The sequence below is a fragment of the Homo sapiens genome, chromosome 14, assembly GCF_000001405.40.
Source record: "Homo sapiens chromosome 14, GRCh38.p14 Primary Assembly".
Classification (NCBI taxonomy): domain Eukaryota; kingdom Metazoa; phylum Chordata; class Mammalia; order Primates; family Hominidae; genus Homo; species Homo sapiens.
Genome location: NC_000014.9, coordinates 52,567,527 through 52,592,888, shown reverse-complemented (window position 1 = coordinate 52,592,888; position 25,362 = coordinate 52,567,527). Strand labels below are relative to the sequence as shown.

General features: G+C 39.6%; 1 protein-coding gene across 7 annotated transcripts in view, besides 2 other annotated features; it reads right to left on the bottom strand.

Annotated features, from left to right (window-relative positions):
• The window catches only part of GPR137C (G protein-coupled receptor 137C), an 84,878-nt gene that overhangs the window by 44,825 nt on the left and 14,691 nt on the right, over positions 1 to 25,362 (bottom strand). The window lies entirely within an intron of this gene.
• Positions 23,731 to 24,446: an enhancer, noted in NCBI's record as "H3K27ac-H3K4me1 hESC enhancer chr14:53035161-53035876 (GRCh37/hg19 assembly coordinates)". NCBI's record gives its function as "activates a minimal SCP1, AML or CMV promoter by ChIP-STARR-seq in primed H9 embryonic stem cells {active_cell/tissue: H9 hESC(primed)}" and the evidence as "EXISTENCE:reporter gene assay evidence [ECO:0000049][PMID:30033119]".
• Positions 24,447 to 25,162: an enhancer, noted in NCBI's record as "H3K27ac-H3K4me1 hESC enhancer chr14:53034445-53035160 (GRCh37/hg19 assembly coordinates)". NCBI's record gives its function as "activates a minimal SCP1, AML or CMV promoter by ChIP-STARR-seq in primed H9 embryonic stem cells {active_cell/tissue: H9 hESC(primed)}" and the evidence as "EXISTENCE:reporter gene assay evidence [ECO:0000049][PMID:30033119]".

Sequence of the window (25,362 nt, the reverse complement as noted above, 5' to 3'; positions counted from 1 at the left end):
TCTCTCACCACTCCTATTCAACATAGTGTTGGAAATTCTGGCCAGGGCAATCAGGCAAGAGAAAGAAATAAAGGGTATTCAATTGGAAAAGAGGAAGTCAAATTGTCCCTGTTTGCAGATGACATGATTGTATATTTAGAAAACCCCATCGTCTCAGCCCAAAATCTCCTTAAGCTGACAAGCAACTTCAGCAAAGTCTCAGGATACAAAATCAATGTGCAAAAATCACAAGCATTCCTATACACCAATAACAGACAAACAGAGAGGCAAATCATGAGTGAATTCCCATTCACAATTGTTACAAAGAGAATAAAATACCTAAGAATCCAACTTACAAGGGATGTGAAGGACCTCTTCAAGGAGAACTACAAACCACTGCTCAATGAAATAAAAGAGGACACAAACAAATGGAAGAACATTCCATGCTCATGGATAGGAAGAAGCAGTATCATGAAAATGCCCATACTGCCCAAGGTAATTTATAGATTCATTGCTATCCCCATCAAGCTACCAATGACTTTCTTCACAGAATTGGAAAAACTACTTTAAAGTTCATATGGAACCAAAAAAGAGCCCCCATAGCCAAGACAATCCTAGCAAAACAGCAAAAAGAACGAAGCTGGAGGCATCACAGTACCTGACTTCAAACTATACTATAAGGCTACAGTAACCAAAACAGCATGGTACTGGTACCAAAACAGATATATAGACCAATGGAACAGAACAGAGCCCTCAGAAATAACACCCCACATCTACAACCATCTGATCTTTGACAAACCTGACAAAAACAAGCAATGGGAAAAGGATTCCCTATGTAATAAATGGTGCTGGGAAAACTGGCTAGCTATATGCAGAAAGCTGAAACTGGATCCTTTCGTTACACCTTATACAAAAATTAATTCAAGGCGTATTAAAGACTTAAATGTAAGACCTAAAGCCATAAAAACCCTAGAAGAAAACCTAGGCAATACCATTCAGGACGTAGGCATGGGCAAAGACTTCATAACTAAAACACCAAAAGCAATGGCAACAAAAGCCAAAATATACAAATGGGATCTAATTAAATAAAGAGCTTCTGCATACCAAAAGAAACTGTCATCAGAGTGAACAGGCGACCTACATAATGGGAGAACATTTTTGTAATCTACCCATCTGACAAAGGGCTAATATCCAGAATCTACAAAGAACTTAAACAAATTTACAAGAAAAAAACAAACAACACCATCAAAAAGTGGGCGAAGGATATGAACAGACACTTCTGAAAAGACATTTATGCAGCCAACAGACACATGAAAAAATACTCATCATCACTGCTCATTAGAGAGACACAAATCAAAACCACAATAAGACACCATTTCACACCAGTTAGAATGGTGATCATTAAAAAGTCAGGAAACAACAGATGCTGGAGAGGATGTGGAGAAATAGGAATGCTTTTACACTGTTGGGAGTGTAAATTAGTTCAACCATTGTGGAAGACAGTGTGGCGATTCCTCAAGGATCTGGAACTAGAAATACTACTTGACCCAGCGATCCCATTACTGGGTGTATACCCAAAGGATTATAAACCATGCTACTATAAAGACAATGCACATGTATGTTTACTGCAGCACTATTCACAATAGTAAAGACTTGGAAGCAACCCAAATGTCTATCAATGATAGACTGGATTAAGAAAATGTGGCACATATGCAATATGGAATACTACACAGCCATAAAAAAGAATGAGTTCCTGTCCTTTGCAGGGACATGGGTGAAGCTGGAAAACATCATTCTCAGCAGACTATCACAAGGACCGAAAACCAAATACCGCATGTTCTCATGTATAGGTGGGAGTTGAACAATGAGAACACATGGACACAGGGTGGGGAACATCACACACTGGGGCCTATAAGGGGGTGGGGGGCTGGGGGAGGGGTAGCATTAGGAGAAATAGCTAATGTAAATGTCCAGTTGATGGGTGCAGCAAACAACATGGCACATGTATACCTATGTAACAAACCTGCACATTGTACACATGTATCCTAGAACTTTAAGTATAATAAAAAACAAAACAAACAACAAAAAAAGCACAATGTGTCAGTGTGTGAACATTACAGAGTATATTTACACAAACCTAGATGGTATAGCCTACTACATACCTAGGCCATATGGTATATAGCCTATGCTCCTAGGCTACAAACCTGTACAGCATGTTACTGCTGTACCAAATGCTATGTGCAAGTATAACACGATGGTAAGTATTTGTGTATCTAAACATAGAAAACATACAGTAAAAATGTGGTATACAAGATAAAAAATGGTGCACTTGTATAGGGCACTTAATATGAATGCAGCTTACAGGGCTGGAAGTTGCTCTGGGTGAGTCAGTGAGTTAGTGGTAAGTGAATGTGTAGGCCTAGGACATTACTGTACACTACTGTAGACTTTATAAACATTGTACACTTATGCTACACTAAATTTATTTTTAAAAATGAACAATAAATTAACCTCAGCTTACTATAACTTTTTAAATTTATACACTTTTTAAGTTTTTGACTCTTGTACTGACCCTTGGCTTAAAACACAAATACGTCATACAGCTGTACAAAAATATTTTCTTTCTTCATATCCTTATTCAATAAGCTTTTTTTTTCCTATTGTAAAATGTTTTCATTTTTATTTTTTACTTTTTGAACTTTTTTCTTAAAAGCTAAGACATAAATACACCCATTAGCTTAGGCCTACACAGGGTCAGGATCATCTGTATCACTGTCTTCTAACTCCACATCTTGTGCCACTGGAAGGTGTTTAGATGCAATAACATGCACGGAGCTGTCATCTCCTATGATAACAGTGCCTTCTTCTGGAATACTTCCTGAAGGACCTACGTGAGGCTGTATTACAGTTAACTTTTTTTTAATAAGTAGAAAGCCATTCTAAAATAATAGTAAATACATAAACCAGTAACATAATCATTTATTATCCAGTGTTATATACTGTACATAATTGTATGTGCTACACTTTTATACCCCTGGCAGCACAGCTTTGTTTACACTAGCATCACCATAAACATGTGAGTAATGCATTGTGCTATGACGTTACAATGGCTATGATGTTAAAATGGCTGCAACATCACTAGGTTATAGGAATATTTCAGCTTCATTATAATCTTATGGGACCACTGTTGTATGTGGGGTGAGTTATTGACTGAAACGTTGTTATGCGGTGCCTGACTGTATTTTGGTAACAGTACTACCATCTACTAGAGGCTGAATGTAATGAAGGAGTCTAAAATAGTATACTGTTAGTCTCTAAACTGTACTACTTATATTAAGTCATAGATGCATCCACTTTTGCCATCTCCACTATCACAGTGGATTATTACAGCAGCCTTTTAATTGATTACCTTCATTCTTAATTCCATCCACCCTCTTCAGATGATAACTGTTCATTTGATCACTTTTTAAAATTCCCCCCATACATGATTTATTTAATTTTTAAAAATTGTGGTAACATAGATAGAACATAAAATTTAACCATTTTTTAGTGTATGGTTCAGTGGCATTAAGTACATTCACAATGTTGTGCAACCATCACCTTTATCCATCTCCTGAATCTTTTCATCTTCCCAAACTGAAACTCTATACCCATTCATTAAACAACAACTCCCCATTCCCTCCTCCTCCAGGCTCTGGCAGCCATCTCTCTACTTTCTGTCCTTATGAATTTAACTACTATATGTACCTCATATAAGTAGATTCATACAATATTTGTCCTTTTGTGACTTTCATTTAGCATAATGTCTTCAAGGTTTATTTACACTGTAGCATGTGTCAGAATGTCCTTTCTTTCTAAGGCTGAATAATATTCCATTGCATGTGTGTACCACATTTTGCTTATCCATTCATCAATCAATGGACACTTAGGTAGCCTCTACCTTTTGGCTATTGTGAATGCTGCCGCTATGAACATCAATGTTCTATATATGATTTTCAAAAAATCATTTGAGAGAAAGTTGTTTGACACTACTTTGCCCTAAGTACTTCAATGTATACTTCTTTAAAGATGAAAATTCTCCTATGTAACCACAGTATAATTACAAAAATCATAAAACTGAATATGTATACTATCATGTAATTTTCAGACCTTATTCATATTTTTCCAATCATTCCAATAAAGTATTTTATGAAAAAAAATCCAGGATTATGCATTAGGTACATATTTCATGTGTATTTAGTCTCTTTTAATCTTCACTTCTTTCCTTTGTCTTTCATGATATTCACAATTTTGAAGAATATAGAGACCAGTGATCTTATAGTGTTTCCTTATGATTAGATTTTGGATATGCATTTTGGTAGGATTACCACAGAAGTGATGATGTTGCATTCTCTTCAATGCATTATATCAGGAGGTTAATGATGTTGATTTGTCCAATTACTGTGATGTTAACTTTAATCAATTGGGCCAGAAGCGGTGGCTCATGCCTGTAATCCCAGCACTTTGGGAGGCTGAGGCAGGTGGATCACCTGAGGTTAGGAGTTCGAGACCAGCCTGGCCAACATGGTGAAACCCTGTCTCTATTAAATAAAAAAAAAGCAGCCAGGAGTGGTGGCATGCACCTGTAGTCCCAGCTACTCAGGAGGCTGAGGCCAGAGAATTGCCTGAACTCGGGAGGCAGAGGGTGCAGTGAGCCAAGATTGCATCACTGCTCTCCAGCCTGGGCAACAAGAGCAAAATTCTGTCTCAGAAACAAAACACAATAAAAAACTTTAATCAACTGGTTAAAGTGGTATTTATAGTGCTTTTCCACCATTTAGTTACTGTTTTCCCATTGTATTTAAAGAGTATCACATACAGCAATATTTAGAGATGATGTAAATATCTTTTACTCTTCAAATTTCCTTGACTAGTTCATAATATCTACCAATGATTCTTACCTGAATAAATTATTATGATGGAGGAACTTCTTTTAAAAAAGTACATCTGATCACACTATTCCAGAAAAATGTCCACACTCCTTTAATACATAAAAGGTTTTTTATTGCCTAGCTCCACCTTCCCATCCTTGTATCCTTTTAGGCCTACCTTCAAACTTACGGTTTAGTTATTCTGAATTATTATTTCATTTTACTTTTTATTGAAGGAGTCTCACTCTGTTACCCAGGCTGGAGTGCACTGGCACGATCTTGGCTCACTGCAACATCCACCTCCATGGTTCAAGCAATTCTCCTGCCTCAGCCTCTCGAGTAGCTGGAACTACAGGCGTGTGCCACCATGCCCAGTTAATTTTTGTATTTTTAGTAGAAAAGGGTTTCACCATGCTGGCCAGGCTGGTCTCGAGCTCCTGACCTCAAATGATCTGCCAGCCTCAGCCTCCCAAAGTACTGGGATTATAGGCATGAGCCACTGCACTTGGCCTGGTCATTCTGAATTATTTACAACTCTTCAAATAGGTGGTTCAATTTTATATCTCTGTGCCTTTGTACATATTTTTACTTTGCTTAGACTATGTTTTATGGCCAGATAACAAATTCCAACTCATCCTTCCAGACATTACTAGAATGTCATTCTTTATATTGTTAGGTTAAGTGTCTCAGGGAGAGAGAAAACTCTTTTTATCCTTGCATTATTAATCATAATCTATATCATTTATTTACATATTTATTTCTCTCTTAAGAAAGACCATAACTTACTCAGATATAGAGCCCAATACCTACCATAATGCCTAGTTCACAGTAGGTTTTCAGACAGTGTTTGAATAAATGAGCAGTGAATTAAGGTCAAAGAAAGTGTTTTCGTGTGGTGGTGGTGTGTGGGATAGTGTGGGAAACAGCAGAAGTTGAAGCTGGAGGCAAGCAGTCATCAAATCATGGAGGCTTTGTATAAAATGCTGAAGAATTGGGCTGGCTATAAACTCTGTAATATGATTCTACGTTTGAATGATTTCTTAAGTGACAGTGTAGAAAATGCATTACGGTGGGGCAAAGAATTCCAGTTAAAAGACTGTTGAACTTGAGCTGACTAAACTATATTCTCAGGTTTTGAATCTAAACAATTGATAGAATGAGGGCACCACTGACAAAAAACTTAAAAGCCAGGTCACGAAATGTATTGTTATATTTAAAATGTATTACATCTAGGCAGAAATAAAGATAATAGGTGAGTTTTGGAATGCAAGAAGGAAATTACAGTCACCTATAGAGGTGACAGCTGAAACTCAGTAGAATACACTTAAGGGAAAAAGTGTAGAATGAGAGTCAACCTGTGATATGTTCACATTTAATAGTCACAATTAGAAAGCACAAGAGTAAAGAAAAGGGAGATGGGCAGAGGAGAGAAACATAAGAATCAGACTAGTCATAGAAAACAGCAGAGTAGTTTAGAGTTAAAAGCAAGAAAGTAGAGCCGTTGTTAAAATTCTGCAAAACGTCAGAAATGATTAAGAAAAGACCATTTAATTGAGTGACTGGTATGTCACTGGTACCTTGCAGAGAATAGTTTTCAGATTGACAGAGCAGAAGTGCAAGGAGTTGATAGGAAGTAAGACAACAGAAGCAGTGAGTACAGACTGAGAGATATCTGAAGCTAACAGAAACCTGGGAAAATCTGTGTTGGAAGAGAATTCTCTATGAATGTCTCATGTTTTTGCATGGTCTGGATCTTCTGAGCAAAGGGGTTTGCATGACAAACATCCCTGAATGCAAGAGATAGTGTTTACTTTAAGGTCAGAAGGAATATTCCTGACTGGTATAATAAAGGTAGAGAACGCTGTCCTCCCTGAGGACATTCCAGGATAGTAAACTCTCCCTCTCTCTCCCTGGTGAAGATTTGCTTACACTCTAGAATAAATGTCTATCTCTGTCTCTGTTTTTATTTCAGGGTTTTCTCTCCTGTAGCATTCCCCACTGCATGCGCAGGTAACATCCTCTCACAGTGCTGCCCTATGAATTTGGGGGCTTTGAGACTCACAGCAAAAAGACATTGCTTTTGTTGCTGCTTTAGCCATGAGTGATAAACGGTCTTTCACTCTGACTTGTGGGTCTTGTGTTTTCTTTTCTTTTCTTTTTTTTTTGAGACTGAGTCTCCCTCTATCGCCCAGGTTGGAATGCAGTGGTGCAATCTCAGCTCACTGCAACCTCTGCCTCCTGGGTTCAAGTGATTCTCACGCCTCAGCCTCCCAAGTAGCTGGGACTGCAGGCGCTTGCCACCATACCTGGCTAATTTTTGTGTTTTTTAGTAGAGACAGGGTTTCACCATGTTGACCAGGTTGGTCTCAAACTCCTGACCTCAAGTGATCCACCCGCCTTGGCCTCCCAAAGTGCTGGGATTACAGGCGTGAGCCACCATACCTGGCCTTGGTCTTGTGTACATAAAACAACAGCAGGCTAATCTGTTAAATTTAAAGTAGGGTAAAAGACTCTTCGTGGTTGAAGATTCAGCAATCTGTTGGTCAGAAATTGACTAAATAGAGGGCGAAGTAGAAGATGGAGAGTGGAGAGACAGTGAGAGACAGAGCGAGAGAGAGAGCAAGTGAGAGCGAGAGCAAGAGAGAGTTAGTTTAATTGTTAGGAAGGCTCTAGACAGAAGAGGCATGTTAGTCCTGAAAAGGAAGACACTTTTGAGTCAAGAGAGAAGAAAAGAAAATTAAAGAAAAACTTGGAGGTCTGCACAGAAAATTTAAAATAATTTACAAACCAGCTCTTTGTTATAATAAAAAATGTGGATATAGTATGGATTCTGATATTTTGATATCGAGAAGGATAAGAGAATTTGGCAGATGGATTCTATTTTTTTCTAGGAAAGTAGGTGGCAAGGTCACTTCTTGTGAAAGATGTTAGATTTAAGCACTGGAATATGAAAAACATTTGGAACACATGAATAGAAAGGTTATAAAAGAATATATTGAGAAACAGCAAGGTCCAGTTAAAGTTGAGCAGTTGATAGTGGATATAATTAGCAAGGTTTTCTGATTTTAAAATGGAAACAATTTAACAGAAAAAAAAATGGGCCAGATCCAGTGGCTCATGCCTGAAATCCCAGCACTTTGGGAGGCTGAGGTAAGAGGATTGCTTGGGGCCAGTAGTTTGAGACCAATCTGGTCAGCATAGCAAGGCTCTGTCTCTGCAATCAATCAATCAGGACTATAACCACACCTATCGTCCTAGCTACTTGGGAGGCTGAGGCAGAGGATGGCTTCAGCCCAGGAGTTTGAGGCTGCAGTGAGTTATGATTGCGCTACTGCACTCCAGCCTGGGCAACAGGGCGAGATCCTGTGAAAGTTGTCAGAATCAAAGTGGAGTCACTTATGCCAAATCTTAACAAAAGGGAGTCAGGAGGCCAAAAAGGAGGAGTCTTATACACATTTCTATAATAAAAATGATTACAAGGATTCTCTGAAGACCACAAACATGCACAAAAGTCACCGTAACCTTACACGAAGAATACTTCTGTGAGGACATCTATCCAGCAACTGCCTGTTCAGCCTTGGAATGACACCGCCCTTGTTATTAATCCTTGTGACGAGGGGTAACCATTTCAAAACAACTATGCAACCTTTAGAATTTTGCCTTTAAAAGTTTCCCCTTGCCTCAACCTCCCCAAATATGCCCATGATCCAGCTTAGCACATATAACCTGGATTATAATCATTCTCATTCCTGAATAAACTTATTGTCTTTGGACAATCTCTGTTATTTTAGGTTGACACATTATAAAAAGTTCAAATAACCAGGATGCATTTTTTCATGTAGTAATTTAGAATTGGAAAATGTGGGCACTATTGTAGAGGAAGAACTCACTCTGGTGAATGAACAGGTTTGGCACGGCAAAAAGTCAAGGGATGAGGAATACTAGAATGGAGTGGGGAGAACAGAAGAGATAAAGTGACTAAAAGTCAGGATGAGGGTAAAAAACAGATAAAAGAATAAACTGAATATATATAAGGGAAAAGAGAAGACATTGGTCAGAAAGAATAGCTCAGTTTTTAAGAGCTGATCCAAGGTGTGGTCATGCTACTGGGTGGCTCAAATAGAAATGAAGGGTTTTAGAGCTCTAAGAAACCACTGAATTGAGACATTAGATGGGTTATCAATAAGGGTTTTGAGAAAGATCATATATCACAGGAAACCAGGGAAGAAGGAAGAAAGTGCTGATTCATCCAGGAAGGTGGAAGTTATTATTACAGCCAATGATGATCTAATCAGATGGCACAGATTTCAGAGATGATGATGGTATAATATTAGTAAGTAGTATTGGGAAGTATAAAATAGGCTGATCATTTTTCCCACAAAAGACATGAGATGTCATCTGAGAAGAGCTAGATTTCAGTGAAGGCATTTAAAAGGATCATGTGAAGACAAGAATCGGTACAGGGTGAGAGGGATAATCCATAAAATTACAGGTCTTGGGATAATGGGTGTGACAGGGAGTTGAGCTGGATGAGAAAAAAAATAAAGGTCAGCTACCATCCCAGATTTGCAGAACATGTTCCAATGCATTATAGAAGCATAACCAGGTGCTTAAATCACATTTGGATTATAGTAGGCTTAAACACAATTATCTGCTATTAATAGATTCCAAGTATATTATAGAATATAGCTAACAGGACATGATCATGAGTTAAAAATTAGTAATATGAAAAAATATCAAGCAATTATATATCATTTGTTAAGATACTGAAATAATTCATGAAACAATAAACACATGCTTTATGTAGATTTTTTTTAAGTTCAGAATGGTAAATAATGTATCTAAATGACTTACTGATGTCAATTTAAGTCAGATGGGCTGTATCTTTCCAGCTCTTTCTTAATACCAGAAAAAACTGGATAAATGGGCCATTTATAAAAGAATATTATTCTTTCTATGAAAGTATAAAGAATTTTAAGGGTTAATGGCTGTCAAATATTTTATATCACATAATCTACTTTTATCCCATATACAGACTAGCAGATCCTTATTTAGAAAATATTATTTTAGGATATTTGAATTATTGAAGATTTAAAATAATGTTATTACTAGCATACTCAATTTTATTTTGTAATATTCAACTCATATACAAGTGATTTGAAATGATTTTCTCATTTTATTATTTTTAATTATTTATTTATTTTTGGAGACAGAGTCTCACTCTGTTGCCCAGGCTGGAGTGCACTGCCATGATCTCAGCTCACTGCAACATCCACTTCCCAGGTTCAAGCCATTCTCCTGCCTCAGCCTCCCAAGTAGCTGGGATGACAGGTGCACACCAACACACCCGGCTAATTTTTGTATTTTTATTAGAGACTGGGTTTCCCCATGTTGGCCAGGCTGGTCTCGAACTCCTTAATTCAGGTGATCTGCCCGCCTTGGCCTCCCAAAGTGCTGGGATTACAGGCATAAGCCACCATGCCCGGCCAGATATTTCCATTTTAAAATGCAGACTTATATGTCTCCTTTAGTGCTTCAAATAAAGGAAAGATGAGAGTATTGCAAATATATTGTTTGTGACTGTCACCTAATGTAATATTAATACAAGTATCCCAAGACTTGAGGAATGTGCAATGATATGAAATGTTTATGTCCCCTGCAAATTCATGTTGAAATACTAACCCCCAATGTGATTAGTATTAGGAGGTGGGGCCTTTGGGACCTGCTAGGTCATGAGGATGCAGCCCTCATTAATGAGATTAGTATCCTTATAAGAGAGATCCCATAGATTCCTCACCTCTTACAACATGTGAGGACATAGTGGGAAGGCACTGTCTATGAACCAGAAAGTGGATCCTTATCAGACACTGGATCTACTGGCACCTTGGTCTGAAACTTTCCAGCCTCCAGAATGGTGAGAAATAAATTTGTTTTCTTATAAACTACCCAGTTTATGATATTTTATTACAACAGCCTGAAGACTAAGCAGACTAAGACAAGAGGGTTACACTGGAGCTGTGTATCGTTTATTTTCACCCATGACATGTAGACCATGTTGCTTTGAAGATAGTAGGTACTGAAATACTTATAGAACAAATGCTTTTCTATGGAATTCATTTTTGTCAATTTAATTTTCCCTCTTTTGTTGATCTAAAATAGAAACTTTACTGGAGAGCATATCTAATATAAAATTTGAAATTGATGCAAAAATGAATTGTGGTAAACATAATCTCTTTTCCATGGTGAAGAGTTAGGCATACATATCCAATTAAGTAGATGATTTTCACAGAAGCAGTTATCCAATTTCCATATCAATTGCTTAAGTTCCTATAGAGAGTAGCGCACCATTCCCAAGCTTACCATTGTTATTGCCTGCAAATAAAATATGAAGCATTTAGCTACTTTAGCCATAAATTGAATAAATGCACTCTTCCTCAATGTTCACTTTCTTTCTTTTTTTTTTTTTGAGACGGAGTCTCTCTGTTGCCCAGGCTGGAGTGCAGTGGTGCGATCTCAGCTCACTGCAACCTCTGCCTACTGGGTTCAAACAATTCTCCTGCCTCAGCCTCCTGAGTAGCTAGAATTACAGGCGTGCATCACCATGCCCAGCTATTTTTTTTTTTTTTTTTAGTAGAGAAGGCATCTCACCATGTTGGCTGGCCTGTGTTGAACTCCTGACCTCAGGTGATCTGCCTGCCTCGGCCTCCCAGTGTGCTGGGATTACAAGCATGAGCCACTGCACCCGGCCAGATGTTCACCTTCTATGTCTATCATATGGTTAACAACTTTTTTTTTTTTTTTTTTGAGAAGAAGTCTCACTCTGTCACCGAGGCTGGAGTGCAGTGGCGCAATCTCGGCTCACTGCAACCTCTGCCGCCCGGGTTCAAGCAATTCTCCTGCCTCAGCCTCCTGAGTAGCTGAGATTACAGGCATCTGCCACCATGCCCGGCTAATTCTTTTGTACTTTTCAGTGGGGTTTTGCCATGTTGGCCAGGCTGGTCTCAAACTCCTGACTTCAGGTGATCCACCTGTCTCAGCCTCCCAAAGTGCTGGGATTACAGGTGTGAGCCACCAGGCCTGGCCAATAACTTTTATCTACTAAAAATATATATGTATATATTTTATCTACTAAGAAATATATATTTATATATTTAATATATACATATAAATATTATTATATAAATATAAATAATATATAAATATAAATATATTTAGTAGATATATATACTAAAAAATATATATATTTACAGCAGCCTATTCTTGTTTCTAGGATTCAATATCTTCTTGCATCTCTCTTAGGGTCTTAATACCCTAATGCTTAAAAAAATTATTCATTGGCCAGGAGTGTTGGCTCACGCCTGTAATCCCAGCACTTTGGGAGGCCGAGGTGGGTGGATCGCCTGAGCTCAGAAGTTCGAGACCACCCAGGGCAACATGGTGAAACCCTATCTCTACTAAAAATACAAAAAAATTAACTGGGTGTGGTGGTGCACACCTCCAGTCCCAGCTACTTGGGAGGCTGAGGCAGGAGAACTGCTTGGGCCCAGAGGCGAAGATTGCAGTGAGCCGAGATCGTGCCACCGAACTCCAGCTTGGGCTACAGGGTGAGACTCTGTCTCAAAAAAAAAATTTTTTTTTCTTTTAGTCTCTTCTCTCTGCTTAGTCTGATTTCTTCTAAGCTGCTTAAAAATGATATTATACAAATTGGGATGGTTTAATTTACAATCAAATGAATTTTGATGATTCAAATAAATATCGAATATCCATATCTAATTTTGTTCCAACTTGAAATTCTACTAAAACAACAGTAAAGGAATTTTCATGAAAGGCATAAACCCATAAATCTGAGTAGAATAGGAAAGACTGCAATAATGAATGTTGGAAGCTAGAAAGCAGATGGGTGTACGTGCAGAAAAAGGTTAACATGGCAGGCTCAAGACTGCTATCCTTAGAAAGACTGCTTATAAAGTTGGCCTGTGGCTGGCATTTGGAAATCTGGCTTTCAGGAGGATTCCCACCATTCCTTAAATGATGAGCTGTGCTTCACTTTACCTAAAGCATTTGTGCAAATAATATAGTTTATACTGAATACCTGTTTTCTTTCTTGGAATCTTGACATTTGGTATTTGTTAGGTAGAGGGTACCTACACGGCCAGCTCGCAATAAAAAAAATCTTGGGCACTGAGTTTCTAATGATCTTCTGTGGTAGACACCATCTCACATGTGTTGTTACACCTCATTGCTGAATGAATTAAGCACATCCTGTGTAACTCCACTGGGAGAGGACTCTTGGAAGTGTGTGTCTGGTTTATTCCAGGCTTTATGTATCTTTTCCCTCTGATTTGACTCTACGTCCTTTCACTGTAATAAACTGTAACCATGAGTTTAACAATTGTGAGTCCTAGCAAATCATCAAGGCTGAAGGTGGCCTTAGGGACACCCAACACAATGTATGATTACCCAAGAAAGATGAATCCCAAGCTAGTAGTGAGAAGGGTTGAGAACAACGTGATTTCAGAATCTTCAAAAGGTACCAGGAGAATCAGGTACCAATCAGAGAGAACTGAGAAGTGGGGGTGGCTAAAACGGGTAGATAAAAGCTGTTTAAGAGCAGTTAAATCTCTCTTTCCCTAGTCCATACCCTGGGCAAATGCCTCTTCTTCATCCTGGCAGATATCTGGGTATTTATTCTCTGGAGAGGCCACCAAAAAGCCTTTGGTCTAAAGCATGAAAGTTAAATGCCAGGCACAGTTGATAGTTTAGCACCACACTGAGAATGGAGATGACTGGTATACACCAAGCATAAAGATTCTCCCCCACCCCAACCCTCTTCCCTGACTAGGTTCTCAAAATGCTGGAATAGACCTTTACTCTTTGAAAGATTAGAATATTTTTTTTTCTCTGAGGAATCTTAGCAGCCCAAGAAGAAAGATCTAAACATACTAGCAACGGGGGTTCTGTAACAAATAGTTCAGCCAGATCACCCTACAGCAAAGCTCAGAGCGTACATATCTCACCCATAAGCTCAGAGTTTCCATTCTTTTTTTTTTTTTTTGAGACGGAGTCTCGCTCTTGTTGACCAGGCAGGAGTGCAGTGGCACGATCTCAGCTCACTGCAAACTCGGCCTCCTAGGTTCAAGAGATTCTCCAGCCTCAGCCTCCTGAGTAGCTGGGACTAAAGGCACGTGCCACCACGCCTGGCTAATTTTTCTATTTTTAGTAGAGACACGGTTTTGCCACGCTGGCCAGGCTGGTCTCGAACTCCTGATCTCAGGTGCTCAGGTGATCCGCCCACCTCAGCCTCCCAAAGTGCTGGGATTACAGGTGTGAGCCACCATGCCTGGCCTCCACTCTTAATTATTAGCAGAGAGCCAAGGATAACCAGATAGCTCAAAAGTCTTTAATAAAAGAGATCAATGCAAAAAAAATACAGATTTAAAAACTAAAACAGGAAAACTATCCTTAATAAACTTAGAGAGAGTAGATATGGAGCTCATGAACAAAAACATGATGTTAATAAAAAATTCAGAGAATAAAAAGGAGCTTATGGAAGGGAATTACAAATGCTAGTAGAAATTTTAAAAAGTCAAAAGACAGGCTGGAAATTGGGAAACTCCCCCAAAAAGCAGAGAAAGAAGACAGATGCAAAATAGGAAAGAAAAGAAAAAGATTCATTTAAAAGGTCTAACATCCAAACATTAAGAGCTCCAGAAAGAGAAACAAATAAAGAAGCGGAGAAAATCAAGTTAAAAATACGAGAATGTCTCCCTAAACTAAAAAATACATGTTAGTAAGTTGAAGGGGCTTGTTGAATATCCGGCAAAATGGATAGAAAACAGACCCATTTGAAGATACATCACTATGAAATTTCAGAACACTGGAATCAAAGAATAACCTATTATTTTCAGAAAGGAAAAAACAAGTCACATATACATAATAAAAAATCAGAATTGTATAGAGATGTTCATAGTGGTCTCTGATAAACTTTGTATTTCTGTGGTATCAGTTGTAATATTACCTTTATTGCTTTTTTTTGAGACAGGGTCTCATTCTGTTACCCAGGCTGGAACGCAGTGGCACGATCTCAGTTCACTGCAACCTCTGCCTCCCAGGCTCAAGCGATCCTCCCACCTCAGCCTCAGTAGCTGGGACTTACAGGTGCATGCCACCACGCCCAGCTAATTTTTTTTTTTTTTTTTTGTAGAGATGGTGTTTTGCTATGTTGCCCAGGCTGGTCTCAAACTCCTGGGTTCAAGCGATCCGCCTGCCTCAGCCTCCCAAAGTGCTGGGATTACATGCTTGAGCCACTGCACCCCTAAGTTTAAATTTACCTGATTTTAAAGATAAAATCAGATCTTTATAGTTTCTGATTGTTCTTATTTGAATCCTCTCTCTTCTTTTGTTTGCCTACCAATTTTGTTTGTCTTTGCCAAGAATCAACTTTTCATTTCATTGATCGTGTGTGTGTGTGTGTGTGTGTGTGCGCGCGCGCGCACGCGTGCATGTTTGGTCTCAATTTCATTCAGTTCTGATCTCTTTTCTGCTAGCTTTGGGTTTTGTTTGTTCTTGTTTTTCCAGTTCCTTGAGGTGTAACATTAGTGTTAATCTGAAATGACTTTTTTATGTAGACATTTAACACTATAAACTTCCCTTTCAGCCTGCTTTTGCTGTATCCCAGAGGTTTTGGTATCTATTTTCACTCGTTTCAACAAATATTTTGATTCTGCCTTGATTTCACTGTTTACCCATAGATCACTCAGGAGCAGATGTTTAATTTCCAGGTATCTTTTTTTTTTTTTTTTTTTTTTTTTTTTTTGAGGAGTCTTACTCTGTCGCCCAGGCTGGAGTGCAGTGGCACGAATTTGGCTTATTGCAACCTCCGCCCCCCGGGTTCAAGTGATTCTTCTGCTTCAGCCTCCTGAGTAGAGTAGCTGGGACTACAGCACCACGCCTGGCTAGTTTTTGTATTTTTAGCAGAGATGGGGTTTCCCCATACTGGCCAGGCTGGTCTCGAACTCCTGACCTCAAGTGATCCACCTGCCTCGGCCTCCCAAAGTGCTGGGATTACAGGTGTGAGCCACTGAGCCCAGCCTATTTACATAGTATTGAGAGTTCCTGTTGGTACTGGTTTATATTTTTATTTCACTGTGGTCTGAGAAGATGCTTAGTATGATTTCCATTTTTAAAAACTTATTGAGACTCGCCTTGTGGCCCAGCATATGGTCAATTTTTGAGAATGTTCCATGTGCAGGTAGGAAGAATGTGTATTCTGTGGTTGTAGGGTAGAATGTTCTGTAAACGTCTATTAGGTTAATTTGGTCTGAAGTCCAATTTAAGTCCAGAGTTTCTTTGTTGACTTTCTGCCTCGATGATGTATATAGTGATGTAAGTGGAGTGAAGTCCTCCAGTATTATTACGTTGCTCTCTATCTCTTTCAGTACAACTTAATGGAAAAACAATAAGATTTCTCAAATAACTAAAAATGGAACTATAATTCCATTCAGCAATTCCACTACTGGGTATATACCCAAAGGGAAAGAAATTCTTATATCAAAAAGACACCTTCACTCTATATTTATCACAGCACTATTCATAATAGCAAAGATACAGAATCAACCTAAGTGTCTATCAATGGATGATTAGATTAAAATGTGGTATATATGGACCATGGAATGCTACTCAGCTATAACGAGTATGAAATTCTATCAATTGCAACAACATTGATGGAATTTGAGGCCATTATCCTAAGTAAAATAACTCAGAAACAGAAAGTCAAATACTGATGTTCTCACTTATAAGTGGGAGTTAAACAAAGGGTACACATGTAGAATAGTCTGCCTGATAAGAGTGTCTTTCTTTATCTGGGGCCTTGGGCCATTCCAAATAGTTTATGCTAACAATGTGAGTTACGGTGCAGCCTTGGGCCACATAGTATCAGTTTGACTTCTGGAGAGGCTGGGGACTGAGTAAAGTCAGCCATGTGGATGCTCCATGCCTATATGACCAACCCCCAGTAAAAACCCCGAACAACACAGCTCATGTGAACTTCTTAGTGAGAGACTAAGCTCTATCTGTAAGACTCCACTAGGAGAAGATAACTGGGAGGTTGTCCCTGAAGTCTCCTGGACTAAGAGAAACCTTAGAAATTTAGTTCAGTAACTTAGTTTTATGGATAACAAAGTTGAGCTTTAGAGATTAAAGTAGACTGTCCTGGAACACACACGGGAAATTGAATAGGATCAACCCAGATGTCCTGACTCCTAATTCAAGGCTCATAGGGATCCTGGTTTTCTTTGATATATTTGTACATTTGGATCTTTAGATGGTATAGCTTAATTCTCCCAATTCATAAATCTTCTAAGGTGACAAATACTGCTTTATTAATGTTCCACCTATATGTCACAGCAACTAGTTATTAGTTGTTCAAGATCTGCAGAATTAACATGCCCAAGAAAATGTATTAAGAAATCAAAGGATCTGTTCAGTAAAATGTAATAACTGAGCAGTTTAACATCTCCACTTTGTGTTGTTTTTCAGATTGTTAGGTAACTTTACATGCCCGACTTAACTAAAAGTATTTTTTATATTTTATTTTCATTTTTATTGAAACAAGGTCTTGTTCTGTCATCCAAGCTGGAATGTAGTGGCATGATCATAGCTCACTGAAGCCTCGGCCTCCTGGGCTCAAGCGATCCTCCAACCTCAGCCCCCTGAGTAGCTGGGACTACAGGTGCATGCTACCATGTAGAAGTATTTTTAAAAAGTATAAATAACTAAAATTTTCAGGAGTGAAGTATTAAATTTATGGGTGAGAAGAAAAATTTGTGAGCTTTTGTTACTAAAAATCTCTGTAAAATATAACTAATTACTATGAACTGTTCATTAGTTTACTATAAACATTTCATTGAAGATAATTTAGTTTTTTAAGTTTAAGGAATATATTGAATTTATTCCTGAACCAAGAGTCTCATACAATATAGATTTAGACTCCCTAGAAAACTGATTTAAACTGCATTTGTGCTGAAACTATGCTGTCCTTTAAAAAGTTTTCCAACACTACTTCCCCCATTGTATATTACTGATTTTTCATAAAACCATTCATGCTTTTTGAGCTAGGAAGACAGCAGAATTGCTTTTTGTAAAGACAGAGGCAGCACCAGATTCACCAAAGGAAATAGATCTAATAATGGTGGGGGAAAAAGGAGCAGAATGTATCAGAAGGAGCAACAGAATATCCCACGGAAGAAAGAAGAAATGTCGCTTGCTTTAATCTGGATTTTTTTGTAAATTATACTTTCAGTTCTGGGATACACGTGCAGAACGTGCAAGTTTGTTACATAAGTATACATGTGCCATGGTGGTTTGCTGCACCCATCAACCTGTCATCTACATTAGGTATCTCTCCTAATGCTACCCCTCTGCTAGCTCCCCACCTACCGACAGGCCCCGGTGTGTGATGTTCCCCGCCCTGTATCCATGTGTTCTCATTGTTCAACTCCCACCTATGAGAATGTGCAGTGTTTGGTTTTCATTCCTGTGTTAGTCTGCTGAGAATGATGGTTTCCAGCTTCATCCATGTCCCTGCAAAGGACATGAACTCATCCTTTTTTATGGCTGCATAGTATTTCATGGTGTATATGTGCCACATTTTCTTTATCCAGTCTATCATTGATGGGCATTTGGGTTGGTTCCAAGTCTTTGCTAATGTGAACAGTGCCACAATAAACATATGTGTGCATGTGTCTTTATAGTAGAATGACTAATAATCCTTTGGGTATATATCTAGTAATGGGATTGCTAGGTCAAATGGTATTACTGGTCTAGATCCTTGAGGAATCGCCACACTGTCTTCCACAATGGTTGAACTAATTTACACTCCCACCAACAGTGTAAAAGTGTTCCTATTTCTCCACATGCTCTCCAGCATCTGTTGTTTCCTGACTTTTTAATGATTGCCATTCTAACTGGCATGAGATGGTATCTCATTGTGGTTTTGATTTGCATTTCTCTAATGACCAGTGATGATGAGCTTTTTTTCATATGTTTGTGGCCACATAAATGTCTTCTTTTGAGAAGTGTCTGTTCATATCCTTTGCCCATGTTTTGATGGGGTTGCTTTTTTCTTATAAATTTGTATAAGTTCCTTGTAAATTCTGGATATTAGCCCTTTGTCAGATGGATAGATTGCAACAATTTCCTCCGATTCTGTAGGTTGCCTGTTCACTCTGATGATAGTTCCTTTTGCTGTGCAGAAGTTCTTTAGTTTAATTAGATCCCATTTGTCAACTTTGGCTTTTGTTGCCATTGCTTTTGGTGTTTTGGTCATAAAGTCTTTGCCCATCCCTATGTCCTGAATGGTATTGCCTAGGTTTTCTTCTTGGGTTTTTATGGTTTTAGGTCTTACGTTTAAGTCTTCAATCCATCGTGAGTTAATTTTTGTATAAGGTGTAAGGAAGGGGTCCAGTTTCAGTGTTCTGCATATGGCTAGCCAGTTTTCCCAACACCATTTATTAAATAGGGAATCCTTTCCCCATTGCTTGCTTTCATCAGGTTTGTCAAAGATCAGATGGTTGTAGACATGTGTCGTTATTTCTGATGTCTCTGTTCTGTTCCATTGGTCTATATATCTGTTTTGGTATAAGTACCATGCTGTTTTGGTTACTGTAGCCTTGTAGTATAGTTTGAAGTCAGGTAGCATGATGCCTCCAGCTGTGTTCTTTTTGCTTAGGATTGTCTTGGCTATATGGGCTCTTTTTTGGTTCCATATGAAATTTAAAATAGTTTGTTCTAATTCTGTGAAGAAAGTCAATGGTAGCTTGATGGGGATAGCACTTAATCTAGATATTGCTTTGGGCAGTATGGCCATTTTCACGACATTGATTCTTCTATCCATGAGCATGCAATGTTTTTCCATTTGTTTGCATCCTCTCTTATTTCCTTGAGCAGTGGTTTGTAGTTCTCCTTGAAGAGGTCCTTCACATCCCTTGTAGGTTGTATTCCTAGGTATTTTATTCTCTTTGTAGCAATTATACATGGGAGTTCTCTATTATTGGTGTATAGGAATGCTTGTGATTTTTGCACATTGATTTTGTATCCTGAGACTTTGCTGAAGTTGCTTGTCAGCTTAAGGAGATTTTGGGCTGAGACAATGGGGTTTTCTAAGTATACAATCATGTCATCTGCAAACATATACAATTTGGCTTCCTCTCTTCCTATTTGAATGTCCTTTATTTTTCTATCTTGGCTGATTGTCCTGGCCAGAACTTCCAATACTATGTTGAATAGGAGGGGAGAGAAAGGACATCCTTGTCTTGTGCCAGTTTCAAAGGAAGTGCTTCCAGCTTTTGCCCAATCAGTATGATATTGGCTGTGGGTTTGTCATAAATAGCTCTTACTGTTTTGAGAAGTATTCCAACAATACCTAGTTTATTGAGAATCTTTAGCTTGAAGGGGTGTTGAATTTTATCAAAGACCTTTTCTGCATCTATTGAGATAATTATGTGGTTTTGGTCATTGGTTCTGTTTATGTGATGAATTATGTTTATTGATTTGCATATGTTGAACCAGCCTTGCATTCCAGGGATGAAGCCCAGTTGATTGTGGTGGATAAGCTTTTTGATGTGCTGCTGGATTTGGTTTGCCAGTATTTTATTGAGGATTTTCACATTGATGTTCATCAGGGATATTGGTCTGAAATTTTCCTTTTTTGTTGTGTCTCTGCCAGGTTTTGGTATCAGGATGATGCTGGCCTCATAAAATGAGTTAGGGAGGAATCCCTCTTTTTCTATTGATTGGAATAGTTTCAGAAGGAATGGTACCAGCTCCTCTTTGTACCTCTGGTAAAGTTTGGCTGTGAATCCGTCTGGTCCTGGGCTTTTCTTGGTTGGTAGACTATTAATTATTGCCTCAATTTCAGAAGTTGTTATTGGTCTACTCGGGGATTTGACTTCTTCCTGGTTTAGTCTTGGGAGGGTGTATGTGTCCAGGAATTTATCCATTTCTTCTGGATATTCTAGTTTATTTGTGTACAGGTGTTTGCAGTATTCTCTGATGGCAGTCAGTATTTCTATGGGATCGGTGATGATATCCCCTTTATTATTTCTTACTGTGTCTATTTGATTCCTCTTTCTTTTCTTCTTTATTAGTCTGGCTAGTGGTCTATTTTGTTAATCTTTTCAGAAAACCAGCTCCTGGAATCATTGATTTTTTGAAGGTTTTTTCGTATCTCTATCTCCTTCAGTTCTGCTCTGATCTTAGTTATTTCTTGTCTTCTGCTAGCTTTTGAATTTGTTTGCTCTTGCTTCTCTGGATCTTTTGTTATTAATATTTTTGAGATGGAGTCTCACACGGCCCCCTGGAGTGCAATGGCGCAATCTTGGCTCACTGCAACCTCCACCTCCCGGGTTCAAGTGATTCTCCTGCCTCAGCCTCCCAAGTAGCCAGGATTACAGATGCCTGCCACTGCACCCAGCTAATTGTTTATATTTTTAGTAGAGACGGGGTTTCACTATGTTGGCCAGGCTGGTCTCAAACTCCTGACTTCATGATCCACCCGCCTCGGCCTCTCTCTAGTTCTTTTTAGTTGTGACATTAGGGTGTCAATTTTAGATCTTTCCTGCTTTCTCCTGTGGGCATTTAGTGCTATAAATTTCCCTCTAAACACTGCTTTAGCTATGTCCCAGAGATTCTGGTATGATGTGTGTTTATTCTCATTGGTTTCAAAGAACTTATTCACTTCTGCCTTCATTTTGTTATTTACCCAGTTGTCATTCAGGAGCAGGTTGTTCAGTTTTCATGTAGTTGTGCAGTTTTGAGTGAGTTTCTTAATCCTGAGTTCTAATTTGATTGCACTGCGGTCTGAGTGACTGTTTATGATTTCCGTTCTTTTGCATTTGCTGAGGAATGTTTTACTTCCAATTACGTGGTCAATTTTAGAATAAGTGTGATGCGGTGCTGAGAAGAATGTATATTTCGTTGATTTGGGGTGGAGAATTCTGTAGCTGTCTATTAGGTCTGCTTGGTTCAGAACTGAGTTCAAGTCCTGAATATCCTTGTTAATTTTCTGTTTCGTTAATCTGTCTAATATGGACAGTGGGGTGTTAAAGTCTCCCACTATTATTGTGTGGGAGTCTAAGTCTCTTTGTAGGTCTCTAAGAACTTGCTTTATGAATCTGGGTGTTCCTGTATTGGGTGCATATATATTTAGGTTAGCTCTTCTTGTTTAATTGATCCCTTTAGCGTTATGTAATGCCCTTGTCCTTTTTGATCTTTGTTGGTTTAAAGTCTGCTTTATCAGAGACTAGGATTGCAACCCCTGCTTTTTTTTGCTTTCCATTTGCTTGGTAAATATTCCTCCATCCCTTTATTTTTAGCCTATATGTGTCTTTGCAGGTGAGACGGGTCTCCTGAATATAGGACATCAATGGGTCTTGACTCTTTATCCAAATTGCCAGTCTGTGTCTTTTAATTGGGTAATTTAGCCCGTTTACATTTAAGGTTAATATTGCTATGTGTGAATGTGATCCTGTCATTATGATGCTAGCTGGTTATTTTGCCCGTTAGTCGATGCAGTTTCTTCATAGGGTCGATGGTCTTTACAATCTGGTATGTTTTTGCAGTGGCTGCTACCGGTTGTTCCTTTCCATATTTAGTGCTTCCTTCAGAAGCTCTTGTAAGGCAGGCCTGGTGGTGACAAACTCTCTCAGCATTTGGTTGTCTGTAAAGGATTTTATTTCTCCTTCACTTACAAAGCTTAGTTTGGCTGGATATGAAATTCTGGGTTGAAAATTCTTTTCTTCAAGAATGTTGGAATATTGGCCCCCACTCTCTTCTGGCTTATAGGGTTTCTGCAGAGAGATATGCTGTTAGTCTGATGGGCTTCCCTTTGTGGGTAACCCGACCTTTCTCTCTAGCTGCCCTTAACATTTTTTCCTTCATTTCAACCTTGGTGAAACTGATGATTATGTGTCTTGCATTGCTCTTCTTGTGGAGTATCTTTGTGGTGTTCTCTGCATTTCCTGAATTTGAATGTTGGCTGTCTTGCTAGGTTAGGGACGTTCTCGTGGATAATATCCTGAAGAGTGTTTTCCCACTTCAGGATAATATCCTAAAGAGTGTTTTCCCACTTCAGGATAATATCCTGAAGAGTGTTTTCATTCTCCCCTTCACTTTCAGGCACACCAATCAAACATAAGTTTGGTCTTTTTCACATAGTCCCATATTTCTTGGAGGCTTTGTTCATTCCTTTTCATTCTTTTTTCTCTAATCTTGTCTTCACGCTTTATTTCATTAAGTTGATCTTCAATCTCTGATATCCTTTCTTCTGCTTGATAGATTTGACTATTGATACTTGTGTATGCTTCACGAAGTTCTCATGCTGTTTTTCAGCTCCATCAGGTCATTTATGTTCTTCTCTAAACTGGTTATTCTGGCTAGCAATTCCTCTAACCTTTTTTCAAGGTTCTTAGCTTCCTTGCATTGGGTTAGAACATGCTCCTTTAGCTTGGAGGAGTTCGTTATTATCCACCTTCTGAAGCCTACTTCTGTCAATTTGTCAAACTCATTCTCCATCCAGTTTTGTTCCCTTGCTGGTGAGGAGTTGTGATCCTTTGGAGGAGTAGATGCATTTTTTTTTTTTGGAATTTTCAGCCTTTCTGCACTGGTTTTTCCTCATCTTCATGGATTTACCTACCTTTGGTCTTTGACGCCAGTGCTCTTCAGATGGGGTTTTTGCATGGATGTCCTTTTTTGTTGATGTTGATGCCATTCCTTTCTGTTTGTTAGTTTTCCTTCTAACAGTCAGGCCCCTCCGGTGCAGGTCTGCTGGAGGTCCTCTCCAGACCCTGTTTGCCTGGGTATCACCAGCGGAGGCTGCCAAACAGCAAAGATTGCTGTCTGTACCTTCCTCTGGAAGCTTCGTCCCAGACGGGCACCCATCAGATGCCAGCCGGAGCTCTCCTGTTGCATAAGGTGTCTGTCGCCCCTTGCTGGGAGGTATCTCCCAGTCAGGAGGCAAAGTGGTCAGGGACCCAATTGAGGAGGCAGTCTGTCCCTTAGCAGAGCTCAAGCGCTGTGCTGGGAGATCCGCTGCTCTCTTAAGAGCCGGCAGGCAGTAATGTTTAAGTCTGCTGAAGCTGTGCCCACAGCCGCCCCTTCCCCCAGGTGCCCTGTCCCAGGGATATGGGAGTTTTCTCTATAAGCCCCTGACTGGGGCTGCTGCCTTTCTTTCAGAGATGCCCTGCTCAGAGAGGAGAAATCTACAGAGGCAGTCTGGCTACATTGGCTTTGCTGAGCTGCGGTTGGCTCCGCCCAGTTCTAACTTCCAGGTGGCTTTGTTTACACCCTGAGGGGAAAATCGCCTACTCTACACAGTAATTGCGGATGCCCCCTCCCCCCACCAAGCTCCAGTGTCTCAGGTCTCGCTGTGCTGGTAGCAAGAATTTCAAGTTAGTGGATCTTAGCTTGCTGGGCTCCATGGGAGTGGGATCCACTGAGCTACACCACTTGGCTCCCTGGCTTCAGCCCCCTTTCCAGGGGAGTGAACGGTTGTTTCGCTGGTGTTCCAGGTGCCACCGGGGTATGAAAAAAAAACTCCTGCAGTTAGCTCAGTGTCCACCCAAACAGCCAACCAGTTTTGTGCTTGAAACCCAGGGCCCTGGTGGTGTTGGCACCCAAGGGAATCTCCTGGTTTGCAGGTTGGGAAGACCGTGGAAAAAGCATAGTATCTGAGCTGGAATGCACCATTTTTCAAGGCAGAGTCCCTCATGGCTTTCCTTGACTAGGGGAGGGAGTTCCCTGACCCCTTGGGCTTCCCGGGTGAGGTGACGCCCCACCCTGCTTCTGCTCACCCTCCATGGGCTGCACCCACTGTCTAACCAGTCCCAATGAGATGAGCCAGGTACCTCAGTTGGAAATGCAGAAATCACCCACCTTCTGCGCTGATCTCCCTGGGATCTCCCTGGGAGCTGCAGACTGGAGCTGTTCCTATTTGGCCATCTTGCCAGCCACCAGGTAGTTAATCTGGATTTCTTAAGAACAATCTCAGCCAGGCGCGGTGGCTCACGCCTGTAATCCCAGCACTTTGGGAGACCCAGGCGGGCAGATCACGAGGTCAGAAGTTCGAGACCAGCCTGACCAACATGGTGAAACCCTGTCTCTACTAAAAATGCAAAAATTAGCCAGGCGTGGAGGCACGCACCTGTAATCCCAGCTACTCGGGAGGCTGGGGCAGATAAATCACTTGAACCTGGGAAGCAGAGGTTGCAGTGAGCAGAGATCACGCCACTGCACAAGAGACTGGGTAACAGGGCGATTCTCTGTCTCAAAAAAAAAAAAAAACCAAAAAAAAAAAGAACAATCTGAATGTAAGCAGTGATGAACGCTGACAATAGCTTACAACTGCTTATTCTAGAGTACGACAGAAAAAGCAGTGTAGTCAGAAGACCTGCCTTCCAATCCTTCTAATTTCTAATGT